The sequence below is a fragment of the Homo sapiens genome, chromosome 8 (assembly GCF_000001405.40).
Source record: "Homo sapiens chromosome 8, GRCh38.p14 Primary Assembly".
Taxonomy (NCBI): Eukaryota; Metazoa; Chordata; class Mammalia; order Primates; family Hominidae; genus Homo; species Homo sapiens.
This window is the reverse complement of record NC_000008.11, coordinates 47,243,896-47,269,004: the sequence shown is the minus strand read 5'-3', so window position 1 is coordinate 47,269,004 and position 25,109 is coordinate 47,243,896. Positions and strand designations below refer to the sequence as shown.

Sequence of the window (25,109 nt, the reverse complement as noted above, 5' to 3'; positions counted from 1 at the left end):
TGTAGAGACTCAGTTTTACCATGTTGCCCAGGCTGGTCTCGAACTCCTAGGCTGAAGTGATCCACCCGCCTCAGCCTCCCAAAGTGCTGGGATTACTGGTGTGAGCCACCATGCCTAGCTGCATGACCTTGTACACAGGAAATCCTAAGGAATCCACACTTCAGAAAACCCAAAAAATTATTAGAACCAATAAATGAGTTCAGCAAAGTTGCAGGATACAATCTCAATATTTAAAAAAATCAATGGAGCTGGGTGCGGCTGGCTCATGCCTATAATCCCAGAGCTTTGGGAGGCCAAAACAGGAGCATCCCTTGAGCCCAGGAATTTGAGACCAGCCTGGGCAACACAGCGAGACTCCATCTCTACCAAAAAATTAACAAAAAATATTAGCCACGTGCAGCAGCATGTGCCAGTAGAACTGCATTCAAAATAGCATCAAAAAGAATAAAACTCTTAGGAATAAATTTAACCAAAGAAGTGCAGGACTTTTTCACTGAAAACTGTAAAACATAGATAGAAATTAAAGAAGATCTAAATAAATGAAAAGACAACCCATGCTCATGGGAAATAATATTGTTAAGATGATAATACTCTCCAATTTGTCTATATATTCAACAAAATCAAAATCCCAGATGGCTTTCTGCAGAAATTGACAAGCTGCTATTATTCATATGGAAATGTAATGAACCCAAAACAGTTAAAAAAATCTCAAAACAGAAAACAAGTCAGAAACTCACACTTCTAATTTCAACACTGCCAAGTTACAGTAATTAAAACAGTATGGTACTAGAATAAAGGCAGACATGGAGATCAGTGGAATAGAATTCATAGACCAGAAACAAACCTTTACTTTTATGGTCAACTGATTTTCAATTAAAACAAAAAAGTGCCAAGACAATTCAAGGAGAAAGAACAATTTTTTCAACAAACAGTGTTGAAACAACTGGGTATCCACATCGAAAAGAATGAAGTTGTACCCCTACCTCACAGTGTGTAGAAAAATTAACTCCAAATGAATCACAGACCTAAATGTAAGAGCTAAAACTGTAACTCTTGGAAGAAAACATAGGAATAAATCTTTGTGACCTTGGTTTAGGCAATGATTTATTAGACATGACACCGAAAAGCACAAGAAACAAAAGAAAAAACAAATTGGACCTCATCAAAATTATTAAAAACATTTGTACTTCAATAAGAAAATGAAAAGAAAACCCAAAGAATGAGAGAAAATATCTGCAATCATACATCTTATAGGGGAACAGTATACAGAATTTTAAAGAACTCGTGATTCCACAATAAAACAGCAAATAACCCAATGAAAACGCAGCCAAATAAGCTGAATAAACATTTCTTCAAGAAGATACAGAAATGCCCAATAAGTACATGAAAAGATGCTCAATCTCATTAGGGAACTGCAAACCAAATCACAGTGAGGTAACACTTCATAACCATTAGGATGACTAAAAGTAAAAGACAGGCAATGGCAAGTGTTAGCAAGAATGTGGCAAAATTAGAATGTTCATTCCTTGCTGGTGAGACTGTAAAAGGTGCAACCACTTTGGAAAATTCTAACAGTTATCCAAAATGTAAACATACAGTTATTATGTGACCCAAAAATTCCACTGCTAGAGAAAGAAAAACTTAGGTCTACATAAAAATGCATATACAAATGTTCAACGCAGGCCAGGTGCGATGGCTCACGGATGTAATCCCAACACCTTGAGAAGCTGAGATGGGAGGATCTCTTGAGCCCAGCCAGGAGTTTGAGACCAGCCTGGGCAATATAATGAGACCGGATCTCAATTAAAAAAAAAAGTTCAAAGCAACATTATTCTTAACAGCCCAAAGGTGGAAATAATCCAAATGTCTATCAACTAATAAATGGATTTTTCAAATGCAGTATGTCCATGCAATAAAAAATTTATTCAAAATAAATAGGAATGAAGTACTGATACATGCAACAACATGTATAAACCTGGAAAACATTATTTTTAATGAAAGAAGCCAGTCACAAAATGACCACACTTTATATGAAATGTCCAGAATAGGCAAATCCATACACACCGAAAGTAGCTTAGTGGTTGCCAATGGATGAGGGAAGAGAGAATGGGGAGTGACTGACTAGTAATAGCTATGGGGTTTCTTTTTGGGGTCATGAAAATATTCTACAATTAGGAACATTTGTACAACTCTGTAAATATACTAGAAACCACTGGATTTTCCACTTTAAAAGGGTAGATTTTATTATCTATAAAACTGAATAACAACATTGCCAATGGGACTGCAAAATTATACAGATATAACCACTTTGGAAAAGTTTGTCAGTTTCTTATAGAGTTAAACATCAAATTACCATAGGTTCTGGCAATTACATACTTAGGCATTTATCTCAGAGAAATGAAAACTTATGTTCACACAAAAACCTGTACACAAATGTTTATAGCAGTTTTATTTGCAATAACCAAAACCTGAAAACAGCCTAGAGGTCCTTCAATAATAAATGTTAATCCAAACTCTGGTATATCCATTATATGGAACACTACTCAGCAATTAAAACAAAGAAACTATTGGCCAGGCACAGTGGCTCATGCCTGTAATCCTAACACTTTGAGAGGCCGAGGTGGGTGGATTGCATTGCCTGAGCTCAGGAGTTCAAGACCAGCCTGGGCAACACGGTGAAACCCTGTCTCTACTAAAATACAAAAGATTAGCCAGGCATGGCAGCAGGTGCCTGTAGTACCAGCTACTTGGGAGGCTGACGCAGGAGAATTGTTTGAACTGGGGAGGCGGAAAGTTGCAGTGAGCCGAGATCGCGCTATTGCACTCCAGCCTGGGCAAGAGAGTGAGACTCCAACTCAAAAAAAAAAAAAAAAAAGACAAAGAAACTACTGATATGCACAACAACTTCGATAAATCATGAGAGTTTTATGTTGTATTAAAAAAAAAAAAACTTCAGACCGGGCATGGTGGCTCACGCCTGTCATCCCAGCACTTTGGGATGTCGATGCGGGCAGATCACCTGATGGTATTAGGAGGTGGGGCCTTTGGCAGGTGATTAGAAGTTACGGGATTGATGCCCTTATAAAAGAGACCTTGGAGAGCTCCTTTACCTCTTCCACCATATAAAGACATGGTAAGAATATGGCTGTCTGTGAACCAGAAAGCAGGCCCTCACCAGACATGAAATCTGTCAACACTTTGATCTAGCAAGGCCCAGCCTCCAGATTTAGTTTATAAAACAATTATTCTCTATATTACTCACAATTGTCTGTGAATTTACAGTTATCTCAATAAAAATAAATGGAATGAGATGTGCAAGGGACTGCTGAGTTTTACAACAAACTTTTTTTGTACTATTTTACCTTACCTATGAACATGTATTATTTTGACTAAAAAGAAAACATGTTTTCCCTTAAATGAGGTACTCTATGCAAAGTGCTTGACATATAGAAAGCTTTCAATAAAAGCTCTCTTTCCTCTCTTTCCCTTTGGTTTGAGGAATAAGACAACCTCTAGGCCAGGCACAGTGGTTCACGCTGTAACCCCAGCACTTTGGGAGGCCAAGGAGAAAGAACGGCTTGAGGTCAGGAATTCGAGACCAGCCTCGGCAACACAGCAAGACTCTATCTCTACAAAATAAATTTAAATATTAGCCAGGCACAGTGGCATGGCCTGTGGTCCCAGCTACTCAGGAGGCCGAAATGGGAGGATCACTTGAGCCCAGGAGCTCAAGACTGCAGTGAGCCATGATAGCACCCCTGCACCCCAGCCTGGGCGACAGAGTAAGACTGTCTCAAAAAAAAAAAAAAAAAAAAAGACAACTGAGATGTCAATACTAAGTAGTCTAATTCTGAGATGTAGAGCCACCAGTAAATCATTCAATGAGACTATCAAGGCCTTAAACTGGAACCATGAGGTACTCCTACCAAGATAACTATGAGAATTTCCTGCCATCACTGAAAAACTTGAAAATGAGCCTTTTTCCTATTTCTTGTTCAAGAAGCTGAAAGACAGCAATTCCAGGGAAATCTAGAGACAAAGCAGTAGAGGATGTACAATATCTTTGTCCTCATATGATTTCTTTAATTATCATGGTGTTTCATTATTAATTGCTTTCATTATCACCAACATTTATTGAGTGTTTATATGCTCGGTATATCATCGCATGCATTCTCATAATTTAATCCTCACATCAACCCAGCAATATAGGTATTAACCCCATTTTATAAAGAAACGACAACTCAATGTTAGGTATATTGCCCTATTCAGAGAACTTGAACCCAGGAGACAGTGGTTGCAGTGAGCCGAGATCGGGCCACTGCACTCCAGCCTGGGTGGCTGAGCAAGACTCCATCTCAAAAAAAAAAAAAGAAAATCTCAAAAGGCAAGCTGCTGCCCAAGAACAGGAGTATATGTGGTCGTCCTTGGCTACTTCATAAGGAAAGGGAGAACACAAGGCACAAAGGGAAGAATCACAGCATGTTAAGGGATAGTGAGGGGCTAGGGCAGGAGAAACTCATGGAGGAGAGGGGAGTGAGGAAAGAACTAAGATACCCCAGCCTTTGAGCAACTGACTGCCCTAATCTCCCTGGGACTTAAATACCACATATCTATATATGTGATATATAGGATATATCTATATATCCTAACATCAGTTAAGAGGCAAACAACTTTCTCACTTCTCATAGGTTCGACTTTCTGAATCACCATGGGTTTCCTCCTCTTCCTCTTTCAATTGCAGTTGCCTAAATCTCACCTTCCATTTGTAGTCTGTCAACCCAGTCCTTTCTATTCTATTCCTAATTCCACCACCTTAGTCCATAACCACACCACCTTTCATCTTAAGAGTCGTGATATATCTGTGTGGCTTGTCCAAAACTGCAAAATCATTCAGCTGTACTGCTGAGGCAGATATCCGAGTCTTCGGACTAGGGTATTTCCTCCTGTTTCTTCACACCTGGAATACTTGCAAATCTTCTAAACTAGTTCTCCTTTCATTAATTCATCAGATATCTAGTACATACAAGGGATATGACAGGTATTCTGGGGAATATGGGCTGAAGAAATAGTCCCTAATCTTAAATGTCTAGAATATAAGGGAATAAAGGTGTAGACACAAATAAACCTAATGTAAGACATGGAATAGTAAGAGTTATTTACATAAAATTCCACAGACTACAGAAGAAAGTTCATTTACAGCTGGGATAATTTGGGAGGTGAAATTTGGGGTGGGCCTCAATGGATGACTAAGATTCCAATCAGCAGAAATGGGAGAACTGGCATTATTCCAAACCAAGAACATACAGAAGAAAGTTCATTTATAGCTGGGATAATTTGGGAGAAGGTGGGATTTGAAGTAGGCCTCAATGGATGATTAAGATTTCATGGCCGGGCGCAGTGGCTCACGCCTGTAATCCCAGCACTTTGGGAGGCCGAGGCGGGCGGATCACGACGTCAGGAGATCGAGACCATCCTGGCTAACACGGTGAAACCCTGTCTCTAATAAAAATTTAAAAAAAATTAGCCCGGTGTGGAGGCTGGCGCCTGTACCGAGATCGCGCCACTGCACTCCAGCCTGGGCGACAGAGCGAGACTGCGTCTCAAAAAAAAAAGGTTTCAATCAGCAGAAATGGGAGAACTGGCATTATTCCAAACCAAGAACATACGCAATTACCACCAAGGGGCAAGCAAGTACAGTGACGCAGTAGTCTAGTTTACCTATAAGATAAATAATGAGCAAAGCTGTAAAGGAATAAGACACAGATATTATGGAGGCTGTGAATAACAGGCTGAGAGCCTGAACAAAAGCAAGGTCTGGGGCAGACTACCTGGATACAAATCCTAGCTTCTTCCCTTAACTGCTGTGTGACCTTAGGCAAATTACTTAGCCTCTCTGCTGAGCCTCAGTTTCCTCATCCATAAAATGAGACTAATGGTATCTACCTCACAGGACTGTTAAAATAATTAAATTAGTTAATACATATAAAGCACTAAACACAGGATAAGTTCTGCAGTAAATTATGATGTAGCCAATAAGAAGTAAAATGAGATTTAGATAGAGGACTAACAATATAATCAAAGTAGTGCCTAAGGGAAAGTCACCTCTGAAGATGGAATGGGAGCATGCTAGCCGGCACTACACATCAACACTCCAACCATTAAGTACTTTTGAGACTGACCGAGGGAGACAGAAACAAAAAATAAATTCCTGGGAAATACTGTGGAAGCCAGCCTCCAAGGTGGCCCCTGTGATCCCCACCTCCTGGGGACCCTCTATAGTCTCCTCATACATTGTACCGGGTTGGTCCATGTAATGAATAGACAGGAGATGGGATGTCACTTCTGAGTTTAGGCTATAAAAGACACGGGGACCGATATCTTGTTGCTCTCTCTCTTGCTCTTGGGAAAGCCAGGACCCTGTTGTGAGCTGCCCTATGCAGCTGTCAAGAAACAACCACGTGAGTGAGCTTGGAACTGGATTCTCCAGCTCCAACGACCCTTTATTTGACTGCAGCCTTGTGGGAGATCCTGAACTACAACCACTTAGTTGAGCCGTTCTCAGATTCCTGAGTCTCAGAAACTCTATGATATAATAAACATTTGTTATGAACTGCTTCAGTTTTCAGCAACGTATTACACAATAGACAACTGTACGACTACTAAAAAAAATTGAGTAAAAAAAAAGAGTCTTGAAAAATGACAAGATGAAGAGACCAGAAGTGAACGTCAATTCAAAAATACTAAGATTTCTAAGTCAAGAGAAACTGTTAGGGCCTGGAGGACTAAGGGTGAGATGATGATTATGTGATGCACTAAGTTTGAGCTCTAGGGAAAGATCTAATATAGATCTGAAAGTCATCTATATAGTTAACTTCAATGTATGACATTGTCCAAAGCAAATATGGAACATGTGAAAAAGCACAAGGTCAAAAATTAGAACATGGCACGAACACAGTAAAGAGAAGAAAATGAGCTGTTGCAAGACAGGAAAACAATCATGGATGTTCCAAAAGAAATAAAAGCAGGTGGTGAATGTGTCAAACGCTCCAATGATCAAGTAAACAACTTACACTGGATTTAGCAAATTTATATATTTCCTTGATTTTTTTCACACATTAATGCTTCAGAAATCAGACTGTATCTTATAATCAAGAGGTGCCTGAAATGAATTTCTTTATTCCCTAAAGCCAGTCACAAAACTGATAGTGTGGGCTGATAATCAATGGTATTTGAGAAGCGAGAAAGCATGGTAGTGGTAAAGAAGTTGAACCAGTATATGTGGTCTATTTTTTCCAGGAAGTTTTCAAGTAAAGGCAAGAGTCAAGAAAGGAGGTCCTGTGTTTGCTTTTTAAAAACCGTTTTACTATGAGACAAACGTATTTGAAAGCAAGGAAGTTAGAAGAAACTTTAAAACGATAAAGGACACATGCCATGACAAGCACAATTAGCAGAACAAAAAAGGATGCACTCGCGGATACAGGTGCAATCAAACACCATTCAAGCAACGATTCCTAGGCACCCGCTCCCGTTCTGGAACCCGAGGCAGCGCGGTGCCCACGGATTGGGCAGTCAGCCGCACAGTCCCCTCCGAGTGCGGCAGGAAGAGAGACAGAGTTGACAGTGGATTATCCGCGGAGACGGGTAAAACCACGCCAGGATTCCCTGCGGTTTGGTACATTACACCAGAATCAAAAAGAGACAAGAGTAAGGCCAAGTACCCCCGAGGCGGACATATGCTCCCGCCCGCTGCGTCCCTCGGCGGTCCCACCCCTCGCTTTCCGTACCGCCGCTGAGGGCCCGGCCCGCACGCCTGGACCGGAGCCGGACCTGGGGGCGGTACCCCACTGCGCGGGCTTGCTCCACGCGCGCAGACGGGACCCGCCACCACCTAGCCCTTCACCCCCAACGCCCACCCTCTCTCACCCCAGCACAACGGGGCCAGCCCCGCGCCGGCCCGCCGCTTCCCCGCAACGCGGGAAACGGCGCGGCGCCCACTCCCGCCCCAGAGCCTACCTTAGAGCCCCGAGCGCGGCTGCCGCGGGGCATCTCCGGGAGCGCCGCCTGAGCGCACCGCCTCCTCAGCGCGCCGCCGTCCCACCTCGGCGCGCCGCACCGCGCCCTGCCATTGGCGGGCGCTCGGGCGCAGGGCGGGGCTTCGGCGGGGGGCAGGGCTTCTCCGGCCCCGGCGCTCCAGGGCCTCCCGGATGGCCTAGTCGGGCCCGGAGCCCGGAAGGAGTGCCCCGCGGAGAGTCGAGCTTCCTTCCCCGGGGCTGGGGGTTCCGCGGAGCTCGCTCTGGGCTGTGGCGTTGCTCGCCCGCGAGCTCCTGGGGAGTTCGGGGGAGCTGCTGGGCTGGTGCCTGGAGCGGGGGCCGCCTCCAAGTATTGTCTTTCGAATTAAGTTACTGTCGTCTGTGTTGTCAGGCAACAACTGACCTTAAATAAAAATGAAAACCAGAAGTAGGCTACACATGCAATAGGCTACACATGCAATAATGGATACTTAAGGAATGGGAGTGGCTGCTGGTGACTGGAGCAGAGAGGGTGTGGTTTCCCCATGTTTCGGGGCCGGGGGGAAGGAGTAAAGTCTGTGTTCAGAGCCCAGACGCCATGTCGGTCATCACATCACCGGGAGAACTCGTGGAGCCTGAGGAAAGGCTACGGGGTGCCAGAGTCTGAAGGGGCGGAAGATTGCATTCCTATCACGTTCGCCGTGGCGCACAGGGGCTCCGCTGGGGCCGCCGCTCCCGCAGGAGAAGTGGGCCTGAGACGGTGCGGCGTCGACCATAGCCGGCCCAGCAGAAGCCGGGGAAGGCCACAAGTGTAACTGGGTCCGAGTACTGTGAAGAAGGCGCCTCCCATGGAGAAAGCTACCGGGTAGTTTAACAAGGTGGAAAAGCGTTGGCCTGGGGAGGAGGAAAGGATGCTCAGAAAGTTGCCTCAAAAGGACGCAGAAGTGGAGGTGAATCTTCTGTTTCAGAGGCATTTTTTTGTGCCTCTGTGAGAATGCATTGCTTCCTGGTTGATCCATCTTCAGGTTTTCTCTCCGTCCTAGTCCCTGTTCTGCCACCATTCTGTGTTTGAATCTGGTACCTAAAGCCGCAGATACTTGGTTCATAGTAGATGTCCACTCTGCAGTGGCTGAAAACACGGAAGAAAAACCATCTTTGCCTGGGAAGGACATTATTGCTAGTGCCATTACTGTCAACAGTTGGAACAAGATAAACGGCATGCCCAATCTAGTTGAGGATTTTGGACACCGGGCCTCCCACTGGGACTCCGCCGAGAAACCAGGTCTGCCATTGCCACCTCCGCCGGGCCTTGCTGTCTTAGCACAGTAAGTGCACCCGACCGCGCCCGGAGTCCCCCTTTCACTCCCACAACCAGGCCTGTGGTGAGGCTCCCGCTTGTCATCTCCACCAGGAGGTGCTGTCCTGCCGAAATGTTGGGGTTTTTCTCCAAACTTCCTCCTGTTCAGAATTCGCCATCTCAGTAGTGGCATGGACATCCACCTGGCCACAGCTCACGCAGAAACCTAGGAATTTTTGTGAACACGTTTGTGTGTCTTACTAATGTGTCCACTCTCCACTACCACTGTTTCCCAGGCCACTAGTATCTTTTGCCCAGACTGCTAGTAGCTCTTAACCCATGTCCCCTAATCCACTCTTGCCCCTCACACAGCACACACATACAATCCATTCTCAACACAGACACCACAGTGAGGTTTATGCTGTCTATACTGGCCTTCCCTTTCGGTGGTCAAACGTGCCTAGCTCCTGCAGCCTTGGGGTCTAATAAGCATTTGCTCTTCCTTTTGCCTAAAAGGCTCTGGCCTCCCTCTGCCATGCCATTTCCTATGCGCCTGTCAAACCTGAACCTGGTGGCCAGCTTCCCTAAACTAGCAAGCCTGAACCTCCCTGCTCTTCCATGTCCGCAGGACCTCATGCTCTGTTGAAGATGTTATAACAATTAGAATCTAAATAATTACGAAAGTTATTTGTTTACCATGTGGTTCCACCTCCATGCTGTAAGGTAATACCATTTCTATCTTCTCCGTTTTTGTATCTCTATCAGTTAGCACAGCGTCTTCCATATACAAAGTACTCAGTTATTTACTATGGATGAACTGCTAATTGTGAAACAGAAATGACTTGCCAGAGGCTGCACAGCTAGTAACTGTTCAGGATTAGAACTCATATGTGATACCAAGGTCGATGCATTCTCCACTACACCAATCAGATCATAGTAGAATCATGAGGAATTTTTCACTTGAACATATGAACTCAGCAAAAGGGAACTGTTGATAATAAAGATGAGCCCCTGCAGAAAGGGTCTCTTAAGTCCTCTCCAGTCTTGCCTCATTTCCTCCTCAGCAAACACTCAATGGCAAACATCAAGACAAACCAGAAAGTCCTTCTTTTAACTTTTTTCTCATCAAACTTTTTGGCCTAGTTGCTGTTCTGCAGATATCTGTGGTCTTCACTCTGCTTACAGCCATCCTAAGGATTCCATGGAGATCCATGGAGTCTGGGGAGGGTGTGACTCACAGGAGGGTCTCTGCTGCACCTTCAGGGCAGCTCTCTTCCATCTGTCTTATATATGGGGCAAGATTGTATTTAAAGAAAGATCTAATATGGGGAGAAATGTTTAGAATCTACTCATCCATATTCTTTTTTAGTCTGGTAGATGACAGTGCTCTAGGCTATAAATGAATCCAAGATTTAAACGTGAAAAAATGTCAAGGTATTAGAATAAAACATGACCAGATTCCTTTATAATCTTAGAGTGGGGGAAAGGGGAGAAAGTCTTTCCAACTATGACTCAAAATGTCCTAGTCGTAATAGGAAAGATTGATCGATTCAACTACATAAAAACCCTAATTTATGCATGGCAAAAAAAACACAGTAGGCAAAGACAAATGGCAAAATTAAAGAATAGTTCATATTGATGTTATATAGAAACAGCCCCCTAAAGTATAAATTACTCTTGGAGGAGTAAGCAAGAGTATTCCTTGGGGGAAACCCAGTAGAAAATGGGCAAAGGACAAGGGCAGTTCACAGAGAAAGGAACACAAATGGCTTTTATACATATGAAAAATGTACTGTCTCACTCATGACAAGAGAAATGCAAATTTAAACTGCACACCTACCATATTGGCTAAAATCTAAGTCCTGGACAACACATATTGGGGTAAGGGCCCTCTAATGTATTGCTAACAAAAGTACAAAATTATGCAACTCCTATCAAATATGCTTCAAAATTATAAGTGTATTTACTCTTTAAGCTAGCAGTCCTACTTCTGGAAACTAATCCTACACATACACCTGCACACATATTGTCTTAGTCTGTTTTGTGCTGCTATAACAGAATATCTGAGACTGGGTAGTTTACAAAGAACAGATACTTACTTTCTCACTCTGAGAAATCTGAGATCAAGGAGCTGGCATTTGGTGTCTGGTGTGGGCCTTCCTGCTGCATCTTCACATGGCAGAAGGCAGAAGGGCAAGAAAGCAAGCTAGCTGAATGCTGCGTGAAGCCTCTTATAAGGGCCTTAATCCTATTAGTGATGGAGGAGCCTTCATGGCCTATTTGGCAACACCTGAATTTTAGAGGATACACATATGAAATGATAACACATGTGAAATGATATGTATGTAAGGGTATTTTTTGCAGCATAGTTTGCAATAGCAAAAGACTAGAAAAAATTGATATATTTGTTTACTTGGAGAGTAAGGAGACTGTTAAATGTGCCATGGTAATACCTTCATAATGATCTCCAGCTTTACTAAATGAAAAAAACAATTGACAGAATATGATTCATAGTGTGCTGCCTCTCTAGTGCAAGAAAACAGGAAAAGACCATATATTGCTTATATCTGCTTGAAGAAATGCTACATCGAAATAGATGTATAGGAAATAAAAGGGGTTACCTGGTGGAGGGGAGGAACCAAGTGATTGGGATGAGGGGAGGAGGACTTCTCCATCTCTACTTTTTTATGTTGTTTTGTATACCTATTTTTAAAACAGATTGAAAAATTAAGAAAAATGTGTACTTTGTTCTAGAGTGATGATGGTTGTACAACTGTGAATATTGTAACAAATCACTGAATGGTACACTTTAAAGGGTGATTTTATGGTATTTGAATTATATTTCAATAAAATAATTATTTTAAAAATGTTTGGTGAGGGGCTGGTAGCATCAGCAGCATCTGAGAAATTGTCAGAAATGCAAATTCTTGGACTCCATACTAGACCAATTGAATCAGAAACCTGGTGGACAAGGCCTGGCAATCTGTTTTGACAAGCCCTTCAACTGACTCTGATGCATGCTCACCTGTGAGAAGCACTGGACTGGATGCAATTGCACGGAGTAACAGGCTGTTGCACAGTGGTCTCCCACAAAACATCCGACTAGGAGATCCGTGCACTCAGGGTGGGAAGAAAAGGCCTTGTCAGCCTTTTCTTTAATCATTGACTACAATAATGTTAATAATAATAATATGACATTTATATGTGCAGGCAATGTTAATCCCTTTATATGAAATGAAAATAGTGCCTCACCTGATGGGTTAGAACACAGCAGATACATAGTAAGTGCCCAGGAAGTGTTAGCAATTATTATTATCATTTATCTCAGAAAATCTCTATGACAATTGTGTGAAGTACAATTATGATTACATATGAGATAATTGCACCACAGACATGTTATATAACTTGCAAAAAGCCACAAACCCAATAAGTGGTAAAGCCCAAAGCACAGAGGTTTTCAACTTTGGTGAATCTCACTTTATCTCTTTTTCCTGATCACACTTTGAGAACCATGGATCTAGGTTCTCAAAAGTATACAAATGGTTTATATATATATATATAAAAAGTAGGAGTGGAAAATAGAGTCAAATGCAGATTATTCAAGGAATGTGCATTCATTCATTCAACAAACAAATATTGAAGTTTACTATGTGCCAGGCCTATGTTAGGCCTTAGGCCTTAGTTGGTTTTCTTAGTCAATTTGGGTTACTATAACAACCCATCAACTAACAACCCATAACTGCATAGCTTAAAAAGAATAGAAATTTAGGCCAAGCACAGTCGCTCACACCTGTAATCCCAGCACTTTGGGAGGCCAAGGTGGGCAGATCACGAGGTCAGGAGTTCAAGACCAGCCTGGCCAACATAGTGAAACCCTGTCCCCACTAAAAATACAAAAACATTAGCCAGGCGTGGTAGTGGGGCCCCTGTAATCCTAGTTACTTGGGAGGCTGAGTCAAGAGAATCGCTTGAACCCGGGAGGCGGAGGTTGCAGTGAGCCGAGATTGCACAACTGCACACCAGCCCAGGCGACAGTGCGAGACTCCGTCTCAAGAAAAGAAAAAAAAGAATAGAAATTTATTTCTCAAAGTTCTGGAGGCTAAGAAGTCCAAGATCAAGGCTCTGGCAGATACAGTGTCTGGTAAGGGCCCATTCCTCATAGATGGCACTTCTAGTGTGTTCTCACTCACATGGTGGAAGGGGCTAGTTATCCCTTTGGGGTCTCTTTAAAGGCATTCACCCTATTCATGAGGGATTTACCCTCATTACCTACTCACTGCCAAAAGTCCCACTTTCTCTTTTTAAACTTATCTTTTAATTGACAAAAATTGTATATATTTATGTTGTACAACATGTTTTGAAATATGTATACATTGTGGAATGGCTAAATCAAGCCAATTAAAACATGCATTACCTCACATACTTAGGTTTTTTGTGGTTGAAAACACTTAAAATCTACTCTTAGCAATTTCCAAGTATATGATACATTTTGTTTGTTTGTTTGAGACAGGGTCTCACTCTGTTGCCCAGGCTGGAGTGCGATGATGCAGTCACGGCTCACTGCATCCTCAGCCTCCTGGGCTCAAGAGATCCTCTGCCTTAGTCTTCCAAGTAGCTGGAACCACAGGCGCATGCCAACACACTTGACTTTTTTTTTTTTTTTTTTAATTTTGTAGAGACAGGGTTTCACCATGCTGCCCAGGCTGGTCTCAAACTCCTGGCTTCAAGCGATCCTGCTGCCTCAGCCTCCTAAAGTGTTGGAATTACAGGCATGAGTCAGTGTGCCCACCCAATACATTGTTATTAACTACTGTCACCATCTTGTACAATAGATAGATCTCTTGAACTTATTTCTCCATCTAACTGAAATGTGGCCTATCCTACCCATCTCTCACCCCAACCCCTGATAACCATCATTCTACTCTCTGCTTCTATGAGTTTGACTTTTTTAGATTCCACATGTGAGATCAGCAGTATCTGTATTTCTGTGTCTGGCTTATTTCACTTAACATAATGTCCACCAGCTTCATACATGTGGCAAATGACAGGATTTCCTTTTTTTAAAACTGAATAGTATTCCATTGTGTATATATGCCACATTTTCCTTATCCATTCACGTGTTGATGGACACAGGTTGATTCCATATCTTGGCTATTATGAGTAATGCTGCAATGAACATGGCAGTGCAGATGTCTCTTTGACACACAGATTTCAGTTCCTTTGGGTATATACTCAGCAGTGAGATTGCAGGATCACATAGTAGTTTTATTTTTCAGTTTTCTTAGCAATGTCCATACTGTTTTTCCTTAATGGCTATATTAATTTACATTCCTTTTTAATGGCTGCATAATATTCCATTGGGTGGATTACTATTTTGTTTATCCATTAATCAATTGATGAACCTTTGTGTTGTTTCCACGTTTTGCCTATTATGAATAATGCTACGCTGAACATTTGTGGACAAGTTTTGTTTGAACACCTGTTTTCACTTGGGGGTATATATGCAGGAGGGGAATGACTAGATTATATTTACAGTTTTAGGTTTAACTTTCTGAAGAACCACAAAACTCTTTTCCACAGAAGCTGCACCATTTTATATTCCCTACAGCCATGTTAGAGGGCATCCTTGCCAATACTTATAATTTTCCCCTTTAAAAAATATTTTAACCATGCTAGTGGCTGTGAAATGGTATCTTACTGACTTTGACTTGTATTTCCATAATGATTAATGATGTTAAGCATCTTTTCATGTGCTTTTTGGCCATTTCTCTATCTTCTTTGGAGAAATATCTATTCAAATCAGTTGCCCATTTTTAAAATGGGTTGCCTTTGTTTTGGTTGGGAGTTTAAGAGTTTTTATTGTTTTGCCTGGAGTTATTACTGGCTAACACGTATCTGGGGTGTACCAAACTTGCTTTATTGAGGCAAAGTGGTACAATAAATTTTTTTTTAAATTTCTAAAATGAACTTTTAAATGAAAATCACTCACCACAACTTTACAGCACATTATCATTTGCTTTAGTGACACAAAATTAGGCTTAAATTACTGGGAATTTACAAATGCACTTTAGAGACCCTATTAACAAGAAGTCTCAACGAAGAAAAATTCAGGACCAGGTGGCTTCACTGGTAAAGTCTACCAAACATTTAAGAAGAATTAACACCCTGTAATCCCAGGACTTTGAGAAACTGAGGCAGGAGGATTGCTTGAGCCCAGGAGTTTGAGACCAGCCTGGGCAACATAGTGAGACCCTATGTCCACAATTTTTTTTTTTTTTTGAGACGGAGTCTCACTCTGTCCCCAGTCTGGAGTGCAGTGGCGTGACCTTGGCTCACTGCAACATCCACTGCCTGGGTCCAAGCAATTTTCCTGCCTCAGCCTTCCGAGTAGCTGGGACTACAGGCGCGTGCCACCACGCCCAGCTAATTTTTTTGTATTTTTAGTAGAGACAGGGTTTCACCATGTTGGCCGGGATGGTCTCAATCTCTTGACCTCGTTATCCGCCCACCTTGGCCTCCCAAAGTGTTGGGATTACAGGCGTGAGCCACTGCACCCGGCCCACAAAAAAATTTAAAAAAAAATTAGCCAGACATAGTGGCACATGCCTGTAGTCCCAGTTACTTGGGAGGGCTAAGGTGGGAGGATTGCTTGAGGTGAGGAGTTTGAGGTTGCGGTGAGCCATGATTGCAGCACTGCACTCCAGCCTGGGTAACAGAGTGACAGAGTGAGACCCTGTCTAAAAAAAAAAAAAAAAAAAGAAAGTAAAAAGGAAGAATTAACACCAGTTATTCTCAATCTCTTTTAAAAAATAAAATATGAAGGAACACTTCCCAATTCATTCTGTGAGGCCCGTATTACCCTGATACCAATGCCAGGCAAAGATACCATACAAAAAGAAAAATAGAAAGTAATTCTTGGATGTCACAAGATGGTTGACTGACTGGAAGCTCCTAGGTTCATCCCCAACTCCAACAAAAAATCAAAATATAGTGAAGAAACAACTATATTTCAATCAAAATAACTAAAGGAGAGCTCTGGAGAACAATAAAGAAACAGCAGAAACTCTGTAGAGTATGGAAACCCAGGATGGATGCACAGGGAAGGAAAGGATACACCTCATCTCTGCCACCCTATCCACTCAGGATCAGCTTGGAACCAGGAGAGCCTTCTTCCTGCAGGGAAAAGGTGAGCAGGAGGACCCCGGCAAACCCCATCACCACCGTGGACACATGCAATCTTCATTACCAGAGGCTCCCACAGTCCTCACAAGCTCTGAGCCCAACTGAGGGAGCTCCCCAGAGTTCATATGCTGAGCTATCTAAGAGAAAGAGCTGATACTGTGCCCTCCCCCATGGTCTGTGCTGCTGCTGCACTGCACCATCTTGGAACCAGAGCCACTGCTAGAGTGTGTTGTGCTCTGGGAGTGTGCAGCTATGTACCCCTTCATCCCTGTGGCTTTGCCAACACTAAAACCATCTTACCCAGTAGCACGTCATCCCCAAAACAGGCTGTTCCAAGCTCTATCCCCTAGGGCCAAGCTCCATCACCCCCATGTGAGACACTGGTGCACCCTCCCCTTATGGTTGAGCTGAAGTGACTCCCCACCTCCCAGGGACCTCAAGCATCCTACAAACCATAGCAGACACAATCCTGGTACCATGATGAGGCATGCCCTGCTCCCCAGGGACCTTATGTCTTTGGCACTCCAGAGCCAAAGGTGAGGCAGCACTTTGCCCCGGGGCTCTGAGCCTCTGGCACATTGGAGCAGTTGCACCCACCGGTGCCACAGCTGATATAGAACCATGCCCTAGGGAACTGAGCCTCCACTGACCCATGTAGCCATGCTTTCTGGGTTTTAGCTGCACCTTACACCCCAGGGAATCAGAGTTTTGCCTGAGCTGGGTCATGTCAACCTCCAGGCTAAACATCCACAGTGCCCCCCCTACCTGGAACTGGACTAGTCCCTCAAAGTCTGAGCTGCTGAGGTGCTCTACCTCTTTGGAGAGTGGAGTCATTGCTGTGCTGCTCTATTCCCCCCAGTTCCCAAGCACAGGGGCATCTTGCCATGTCCAAGTCCTTGCTGTTGCTGCCCCTAGACTCATAGAGCCTTGGCTACTGCCATGTCCCACCATCCCAGGGTCCAGAGTGACCACTGTTTGGTACCTCATCTCCCAGAACCTAAGCTCTTTTTGTAGCCTCTTGGTTCTGTGTTCCAAATTGTAGCTGTGTCCTGCTCCCCAGGACCTAAGCCTCCAGAGCACCTCTTTACTCCATAGCTGTGTCAGGGCTTCACCCTGCCCTCAGGGTCAGAACTATAGCTACATCCCAGCCCCCTCGGCCCAAACTGCTGGAGTGTGCCTCAGCAAAAGACCCTATCTTAGCAAGAGAACTGCCTCTACTTGTGCCTTGGAAATTGAACCAGTACCTCAAATCCTGAGCCCAGGAACCCAGCTTCGCAGCTGCTCTGAACACCTATGCACCTATGCCCTGAATCCCAGTGCCACTGTGGCTGCCAGTGGGTTGTGTCAGACTCTACACCAAGAGAGATCCCTTTAGTGAAGACTCTCCACTGTGGGTAAGACAGGAATAGATGGATCCCTAAGGCCCTTGCCCTAATAACCTACACAGCCATTGTCACTTCCACAAACTTCTGCAACCTAGACCACCCAGGCACTGCAGTCATTGCTGACATTCGTCACAACTGAAGAAACTGCATGCAGACTACACCAATGCACCGACACAGAAACAGAGCCACTGCACCCTGCTTAACCAACACCCTCTGGCCCATATATAGGAGAAAGTCTTCCCCTACAAAAGCCAATCTGAAAGGTTTAGAAGAAGTAACTGCACCACCAGACGCACACACATTAACACAGGGACACAAGAACATGAAAAAGCAAAGAAACAGGACACCACCAAAAGAACACAATAGTTCTTTAGTAACTGACCCCAAAGAACAGAAATTTACAAATTGCCTGAAAAGGAATTCAAATTAATGATCTTAAGGAAACTTTAGGCTGGGTGTGGTGACTTAACACCTGTAATCCCAGCACTTTGGAAGGCTGAGGTAGGAGGATCACTTGAGGCCAGGAGTTTGAGACATGCCTGGGCAACATAGTGAGATTCTGTCTCTAAAAAAAAAAAAAGAAAAGAAAAGAAAAGAAACTCCAAGAGATGCAAGGGAATACAAATAGACAAGTCAATGAAATTAGAAAAACTATTTATGATTTAAATGATAAATTCAGCAAAGAGATAGGTAGCATCAAAAAGAATCAGAAATCCTAGAGCTGAAGAAGCTAAAAAATTTATTACAGAACTTCAATAGCAGACTAGATCAAGCAGAAGAAGGAATCTCTGAACTTGAGGACAGGTTTTTTTTTTGTTGTTTTTTTTTTTTTTTTTTTGAGACGGAGTCTCGCTCTGTCGCCCAGGCTGGAGTGCAGTGGCGGGATCTCGGCTCACTGCAAGCTCCGCCTCCCGGGTTCACGCCATTCTCCTGCCTCAGCCTCCCAAGTAGCTGGGACTACAGGCGCCCGCCACTACGCCCGGCTAATTTTTTGTATTTTTAGTAGAGACGGGGTTTCACCATTTTAGCCGGGATGGTCTCGATCTCCTGACCTCGTGATCCGCCCGCCTCGGCCTCCCAAAGTGCTGGGATTACAGGCGTAAGCCACCGCGCCCGGCCGAGGACAGGTTTTTTGAAATGACTCAGAAAAAGGGAAAAAAATGAAAAAAAGTGTAGACAGCCTATGGGGCTTGTGGGACACTGTTAGGATTTTAAAGAAAGCATTGTGGATTTTAAAGAAAGAGACAAGACTGAGAAAGGAACAGAAAGGTTATTTAATGAAATAATTCCTGAAAACTTCTCAAGCCTTGGGAGAGATATGAGCATCAACATCCATGAAGCTCAAAGGATCCCCAACACAGATAAAACACAAAGAAGGATTAATATGGTTAATTTTAACAATATTACTACCATTCTACCAAAAGCAATATATGCATTCAATGCGATGCCTATCAAAATCCCAGGGGGAGGGATAGCATTAGGAGATATACCTAATGTTAAATGAGGAGTTAATGGGTGCAGCACACCAACATGGCACATGTATACATATGTAGCTAACCTGCATGTTGTGCACATGTACCCTAAAACTTAAAGTATAATAATAAAAAAAAATCCCAATGGCATTCTTTACAGAAAAAAAAAAAAAACTTTGAATTCATATGTAAACATAAAAGACCTCAAATAGCCAAAACAATTCTGAGAAAGAAAAACAAAATTGGAGGCATCATATTTCCTGATTTAGAATTATATTACAAAGCTATAGTAATAAAAACTGCAGGCCAGGCGCAGTGGCTCATGCCTGTAATCCTAGCATTTTGGAAGGCCAAGGAGGGCAGATTGCCTGTGCCCAGGAGTTCGAGACCAGCTTGGGCAACATGGTGAAACCCTGTCTCTACTAAAATACAAAAAATTAGCCTGGCATGGTGGCATGCGTCTGTAGTCCCAGCTACTCAGGAGGCTGAGGCAGGAGAATTGCATGTACCTGGGAGGCAGAGATTGCAGTGAGCCAAGATTGCACCGCTGCACTCCAGCCTGGGCGACAGAGCAAGACTCCATCTCAAAACAAAAACAAAAACAAAACAAAACAAAAAAAACAAAACTGCATGTTACTATATGTCTGCATTAAAACAGACATATAGATCAGTGGAACAGAATTGAGAGCCCAGAAATAAATCCAATTATGTGTTCAACTAATTTTTGACGAGCACCAAGAGGACACAATGGAGAAAGGATAGTCTCTTCAATAAATGGTTCATGGAAAAATGGATTTCCACATCTGAAAGACTGAAATTGGACACATCTTACATCAGACACAAAATTAAACTCAAATGAATAAAGACCTAAATGTAAGATCAGAAGCTATAAAACCCCTAAAAGGTTACATGTTGAAAGCTGCTGGAGATTGGCCTTGACAATGATTTTTTTGGATATCACACAAAAGCTCAGCCCACAAAAGCTGAAATAAATAAATGGGACTACATCAAATGAAAAGCTTCTGTACAACAAAGAACACAATCAACAAAGTGTCAGTGGATTGGGAAAAAGTATTTGCAAACCACGCATTTAATGAGGGGTTATATTCAGGCAACTCATACAACTCAATAGTAGAAAAGCAAATAACCCAATTAAAAATGGACAAAAGACCTGAATAGACATTTCTCTGAAGAAGACATAAAAGTGGCCAATGGGTATATAAACAGGTGCTCAACATCATTAATAATCAGAGAAATGCAAATAAAAACCACAGTGAGATACCACCTCATACCCATTAGGATGGCTATTATAAGAAAATCAAAAGATAACAAGTGTTGGTGAGGGTGTGGAGAAAAGGGAACTCTTGTACACTGTTGTAAGCATGTAGATTGATACTGCCATTATGGAAACAGTATGGAGGTTTCTAAGTAAATTAAAAATAGAACTACAATATGACCCAGCAATCCCTCTCCTGGACATCTACCCAAGGGAAATATACCCTTGTAAAAACATCTTCACTCTCATGTTCATTGCACCATTATTCACAATAGCCAAGATATGGAAACAACTTAAGTGTCTGTCAGTGGATGAATGGATAAAGAAACTGCAGTATATTTAAAGCTAAAATATTATTCAGCTTTAAAAAAGAATGAGACCTTGCCATATGCCACAACATGCATGAGCCTGGAGGACATTATGCTAAGTGAAATAAGCCAGACATAGGAAAAAAATATTGCATGATCTTATATAAAATCTTTTTTTTTAAAAAGAAAAAAACAAATATACAGAGCTAGAGAACAAAACAGTGCTTACCAGGAGGAGGCAGGGAGGAAATGGGGAGATGTGAGAAGACACAAAGTAGCAGATATGTAGGATGAACAAGTCTAAAAATCTAATGTACAACATGAGGACTACAGGTAATAAAGTTGTATTGTATTTGGTATTCATGCTAAGTGAGATTTTAGCTGCTCTTGTTAAAAACACACACACAAATGGGTAACTGTGATATGATGGATGTGTTAATTTGCTTCATTATAGTAACATTTTTATTATCTATATGTGTCCCATAACATCATGTTGTATACCTTAAATATACATAACAAAATTCCTTTAAAAAAGAAAAACTGGCCAGGCGCGGTGGCTCATGCCTGTAATCCCAACACTTTGGGAGGTCGAGGTGAGTGGATCATCTGAGGTCAGGAGTTCAGGACAAGCCTGGCCAACATGACGAAACCCCATCTCTACTAAAAATTCAAAAAAATTAGCCGGGCGTGGTGGTGGACTCCTGTAATCCCAGCTACTCGGGAGGCTGAAGCAGGAGAATCCCTTAAACCCAGGAGGTGGAGGTTGCAGTAAGCCGAGATCACGCCATTACACTCCAGTCTAGGCAACAAGAGCAAAACTCCATTTCCCCCAACTGCCAAAAAAAAAGAAAAACTACAGATTAATATCCCTTGTAAATACAGATGCAAAGGTCCTCAACAAAATACTAACAATCTGAGTGTAGCAGCATATTAAGAGGACTACATGCCCAACCAAATGGGATTTATCACAGAAATGCAAGGATAGTTCAAATATGAAAATCAATCAGTGTAATACATCATATTAGTGGAATGAAGGAGAAAAACCACATGATCATTTCGATTGATGCAGAGAAAGGATTTAACAAAATCTAGCACCCTTTTACGGAGAAACAAAACAAAACATGCAACAAACTGGTAGGAAACTTCCCCAGCTGGATATAGGAGTTATGAAAAACCCAAAGCTAATAGCATACTTAGTGGTGAAATAGTAAGAGCTTTCCCTCAGAAACTGGGAACAGGACAAGGATGCCTGCTTTTTCCACTTCTATTAGATGTAATACTGGAAGTTCTAGTCAGGGCAGTTAGAGAAGAAAAAGAAATAAATAACAAATAAATAGAGTAAAACTATCTCCATTCACCAATGACATTATTTTATAAATAGAAAATCCTAAAAATCCACAAAGAAACCTGTTAGCACTAATAAACAAATTCAGAAAGTTGTAAGCTATAAGATCAACATACAAATGTCATTTATACTTCTATACAACCCAGAAAGAAGATTAAGAGAATAATTTATTTATAATAGCACCTAAAATAATAAAATTGGAGGCTGGGTGTGGTGGCTTACGCGTGTAATTCCAGCACTTTGGGAGGCTGAGGTGGGCAGATCACCTGTGGTTGGGAGTTTGAGACCAGTGTGGCCAACATGATGAAACCCCGTCTCTACTAAAAATACAAAAAATTAGCCGGGCGTGGTGGTGCACATCCGTAATCCCAGCTACTCGGGAGACTGAGGCGTGAGAATCACTTGAACCTGGGAGGCCAAGGTTGCAGTGAGCGAAGATGGCACCACTGCACTCCAGCCTGGGCAACAGAGTGAGACTCTTTCTCAAAAAAAGAAAAAGATAAAAAAGAAAAAAAGGAAGTGGAAAGTTTGCACAATGAAAACACCAAAATATTGCTGAAATAAATAAATTGCAACCAAATAAATGGAAAAACATCCTATGTTCATATTTTGGAGAACTGAATGTTGTTGGGATATTAATATATGAAATGATCTAAAGATTCTATGCAATCCCTATTAAAATTCCAATGGCCAGTTTTCTAGAAGTGGAAAAGTCAGTTCTGCAATTCAGAAGGAGCTGCAAGTATCCCAAAAAGCCTACACAATCTAAAAAGAAGCACAAACTTGGTAGACTCAAACTTCCTGATTTTAAAACTTATTTCAGGTTAATTAAGCCATTCTACAATGTATACATATTTCAAAACAACGTGTACATATTTATTATATTTGCATATATTTATTCTTGCAATATATTTGCAATTTTTTGTCAATTAAAATAATAACAGAAAAAATGTATTACAAAGCTATACTAATCAAAATAGTGTGGTACTCACATAAAGACAGACATATAGACCAATAGAACAGGATTGAGAATCCAGAAATAAACCCATATATTTATGAGTAATTGATTTTCAACAAGGGAACCAAGATTGTTCAATATAGAAAACACAGTCTCTTCAACAAATGATACTGGGCAATCAGATATCCACATGAAAAGGAATGGAGTTGGATCCCTACTTCCCACCATTTACAAAAAATAAACTCAAAATGGATCAACAACCTAAATAAAAAATCTAAAACTATAAAACCCTTAGAAGAAAACATACAGTTATGTCTTTCTGACTTTGGATTTGGTAATGGATTCTTAGGTATGCCACCAAAGCAGGAGGAACAAAAGAAATGATAGGTCAGATGGATTTAATGGCAACGAAACACTTGTGTAACCAAGAACATTATCAAGAAAGTGAAAAGACAATGTACAGAATGAGAGAAAATGTTTTTAAATCATATATCTGATAAAGGTCTCATAGCCAGAATATAAAAAGAACTCATAACAACCTAACTTTTAAAACCCAAACGACCTACTTTTTAAATGACAAAGGACATGAATAGACATTTCTCTGAAGAAGATATAGCCAAGATATAGGCATGTGAAAAGATGCTTAATATTATTCATCATGAGGATAATGTGAACCAAAACCACAAGGAGATATCACTTTACAACCACTCAATGTCTATTTAAAAAAAATTGACTCAGTAATTTCATTTCCAGGTATATAGTCAAAACAATTGAAAACAGGTACTCAAACAAATATTTGGACACAAATATTCATAATATTGACAATAGCCAAAAGGCAGAAATAACGCAAATGTCCATCAGTGCATGAATGGATGAACAAAATATGGTCTATACATATGATGGAATTCACCACCAAATGAAATTAAATACTCACACACGTTACAACGTGGATGAACCTTGAAAACAAAGAAGCCAAAGCCAGGTGCGGTGGCTCACGTCTGTAATCCCAGCACTTTGGGAGGCCGAGGTGGGTGGATCACCTGAGGTCAGGAGTTTGAGTCCAGCCTGGCTAACATGGTAAAACCCCGTCTCTACCAAAAATACAAAAATTAGCTGGGTGTGGTGGCACACACCTGTAATCCCAGCTACTTGGGAGGCTGAGGCAGGAGAATCGCTTGAACCCGGGAGGGAAGCTGAGATTATACCACTGCACTCCAGCCTGGGCAACAAAGCAAGACTCTGTCTCCAAAAAACAAAACAAAACAAAGAAGCCAGACATAAAGGTCATATGAAAAATCTATAACAAACCCATAGAAACAGAAAAAAAAGTTGGTGGTTGCCATTGCTGTGGGGAGGGGAGATTGCTAATGGGTATAGTGTTTTCTGACAATGTTTTAGCACTAGAGGTAGGTGGTGGATGGACCACCTAGTGAATGTCCAAAATACCGCTGAATGATACTCTCTAAAACTTTTTTTTTTAGACGGAGTCTCGCTGTCACCCAGGCTGGAGTGCCATTGGCGTGCTCTCGGCTCACTGCAAACTTCGCCTCCTGAGTTCAAGAGATTCTCCTGCCTCAGCCTCCCAAGTAGCTGGGATTACAGCGCGCTCAGGTAATTTTTTTTCTTTTTGTATTTGTATTAGAGACGGGGTTTCACCATATTGGTGAGGCTGGTCTCAAACTCCTGACCTCAAGGGATCCACCTGCCTTGGCCTCCCAGAGTGCTGGGATTATAGGCATGAGCCACCGTGTCCAGCCTCTAAAACTCTTCATTTTATTGTATGTTTATTTCACCTCAATTTAAGAAGAAAAATTGAGAGCGTCAAAACTTGTGATCTGACCTGGTTCACTGGAGAAGGACGTAGAGGATATATGTAA

The 25,109-nt window shown here is 42.0% G+C and overlaps 1 protein-coding gene across 47 annotated transcripts in view, besides 1 other annotated feature; it reads right to left on the bottom strand.

The window, feature by feature from the left end:
- SPIDR (scaffold protein involved in DNA repair) overlaps positions 1-8,127 on the bottom strand; it is a 475,429-nt gene extending 467,302 nt beyond the window's left edge. For 46 of the 47 annotated variants that reach the window (NR_148202.1, NR_148205.1, NR_148204.1 and 43 more), the window contains exon 1: positions 8,014-8,127. Coding sequence is in view for 18 of the 47 variants with exons in the window: in XM_017013268.3 (XP_016868757.1) it covers positions 8,014-8,046 (33 nt within the window). In the remaining 29 variants the exon portion in view is untranslated. The remainder of the gene's footprint in view (positions 1-8,013) is intronic. The other variant, NM_001080394.4, reaches the window with a different exon arrangement.
- Positions 7,804-8,353: a silencer, noted in NCBI's record as "silent region_19169". NCBI's record gives its function as "represses an Ori minimal core promoter by ATAC-STARR-seq in GM12878 lymphoblastoid cells {active_cell/tissue: GM12878}" and the evidence as "EXISTENCE:reporter gene assay evidence [ECO:0000049][PMID:35858748]".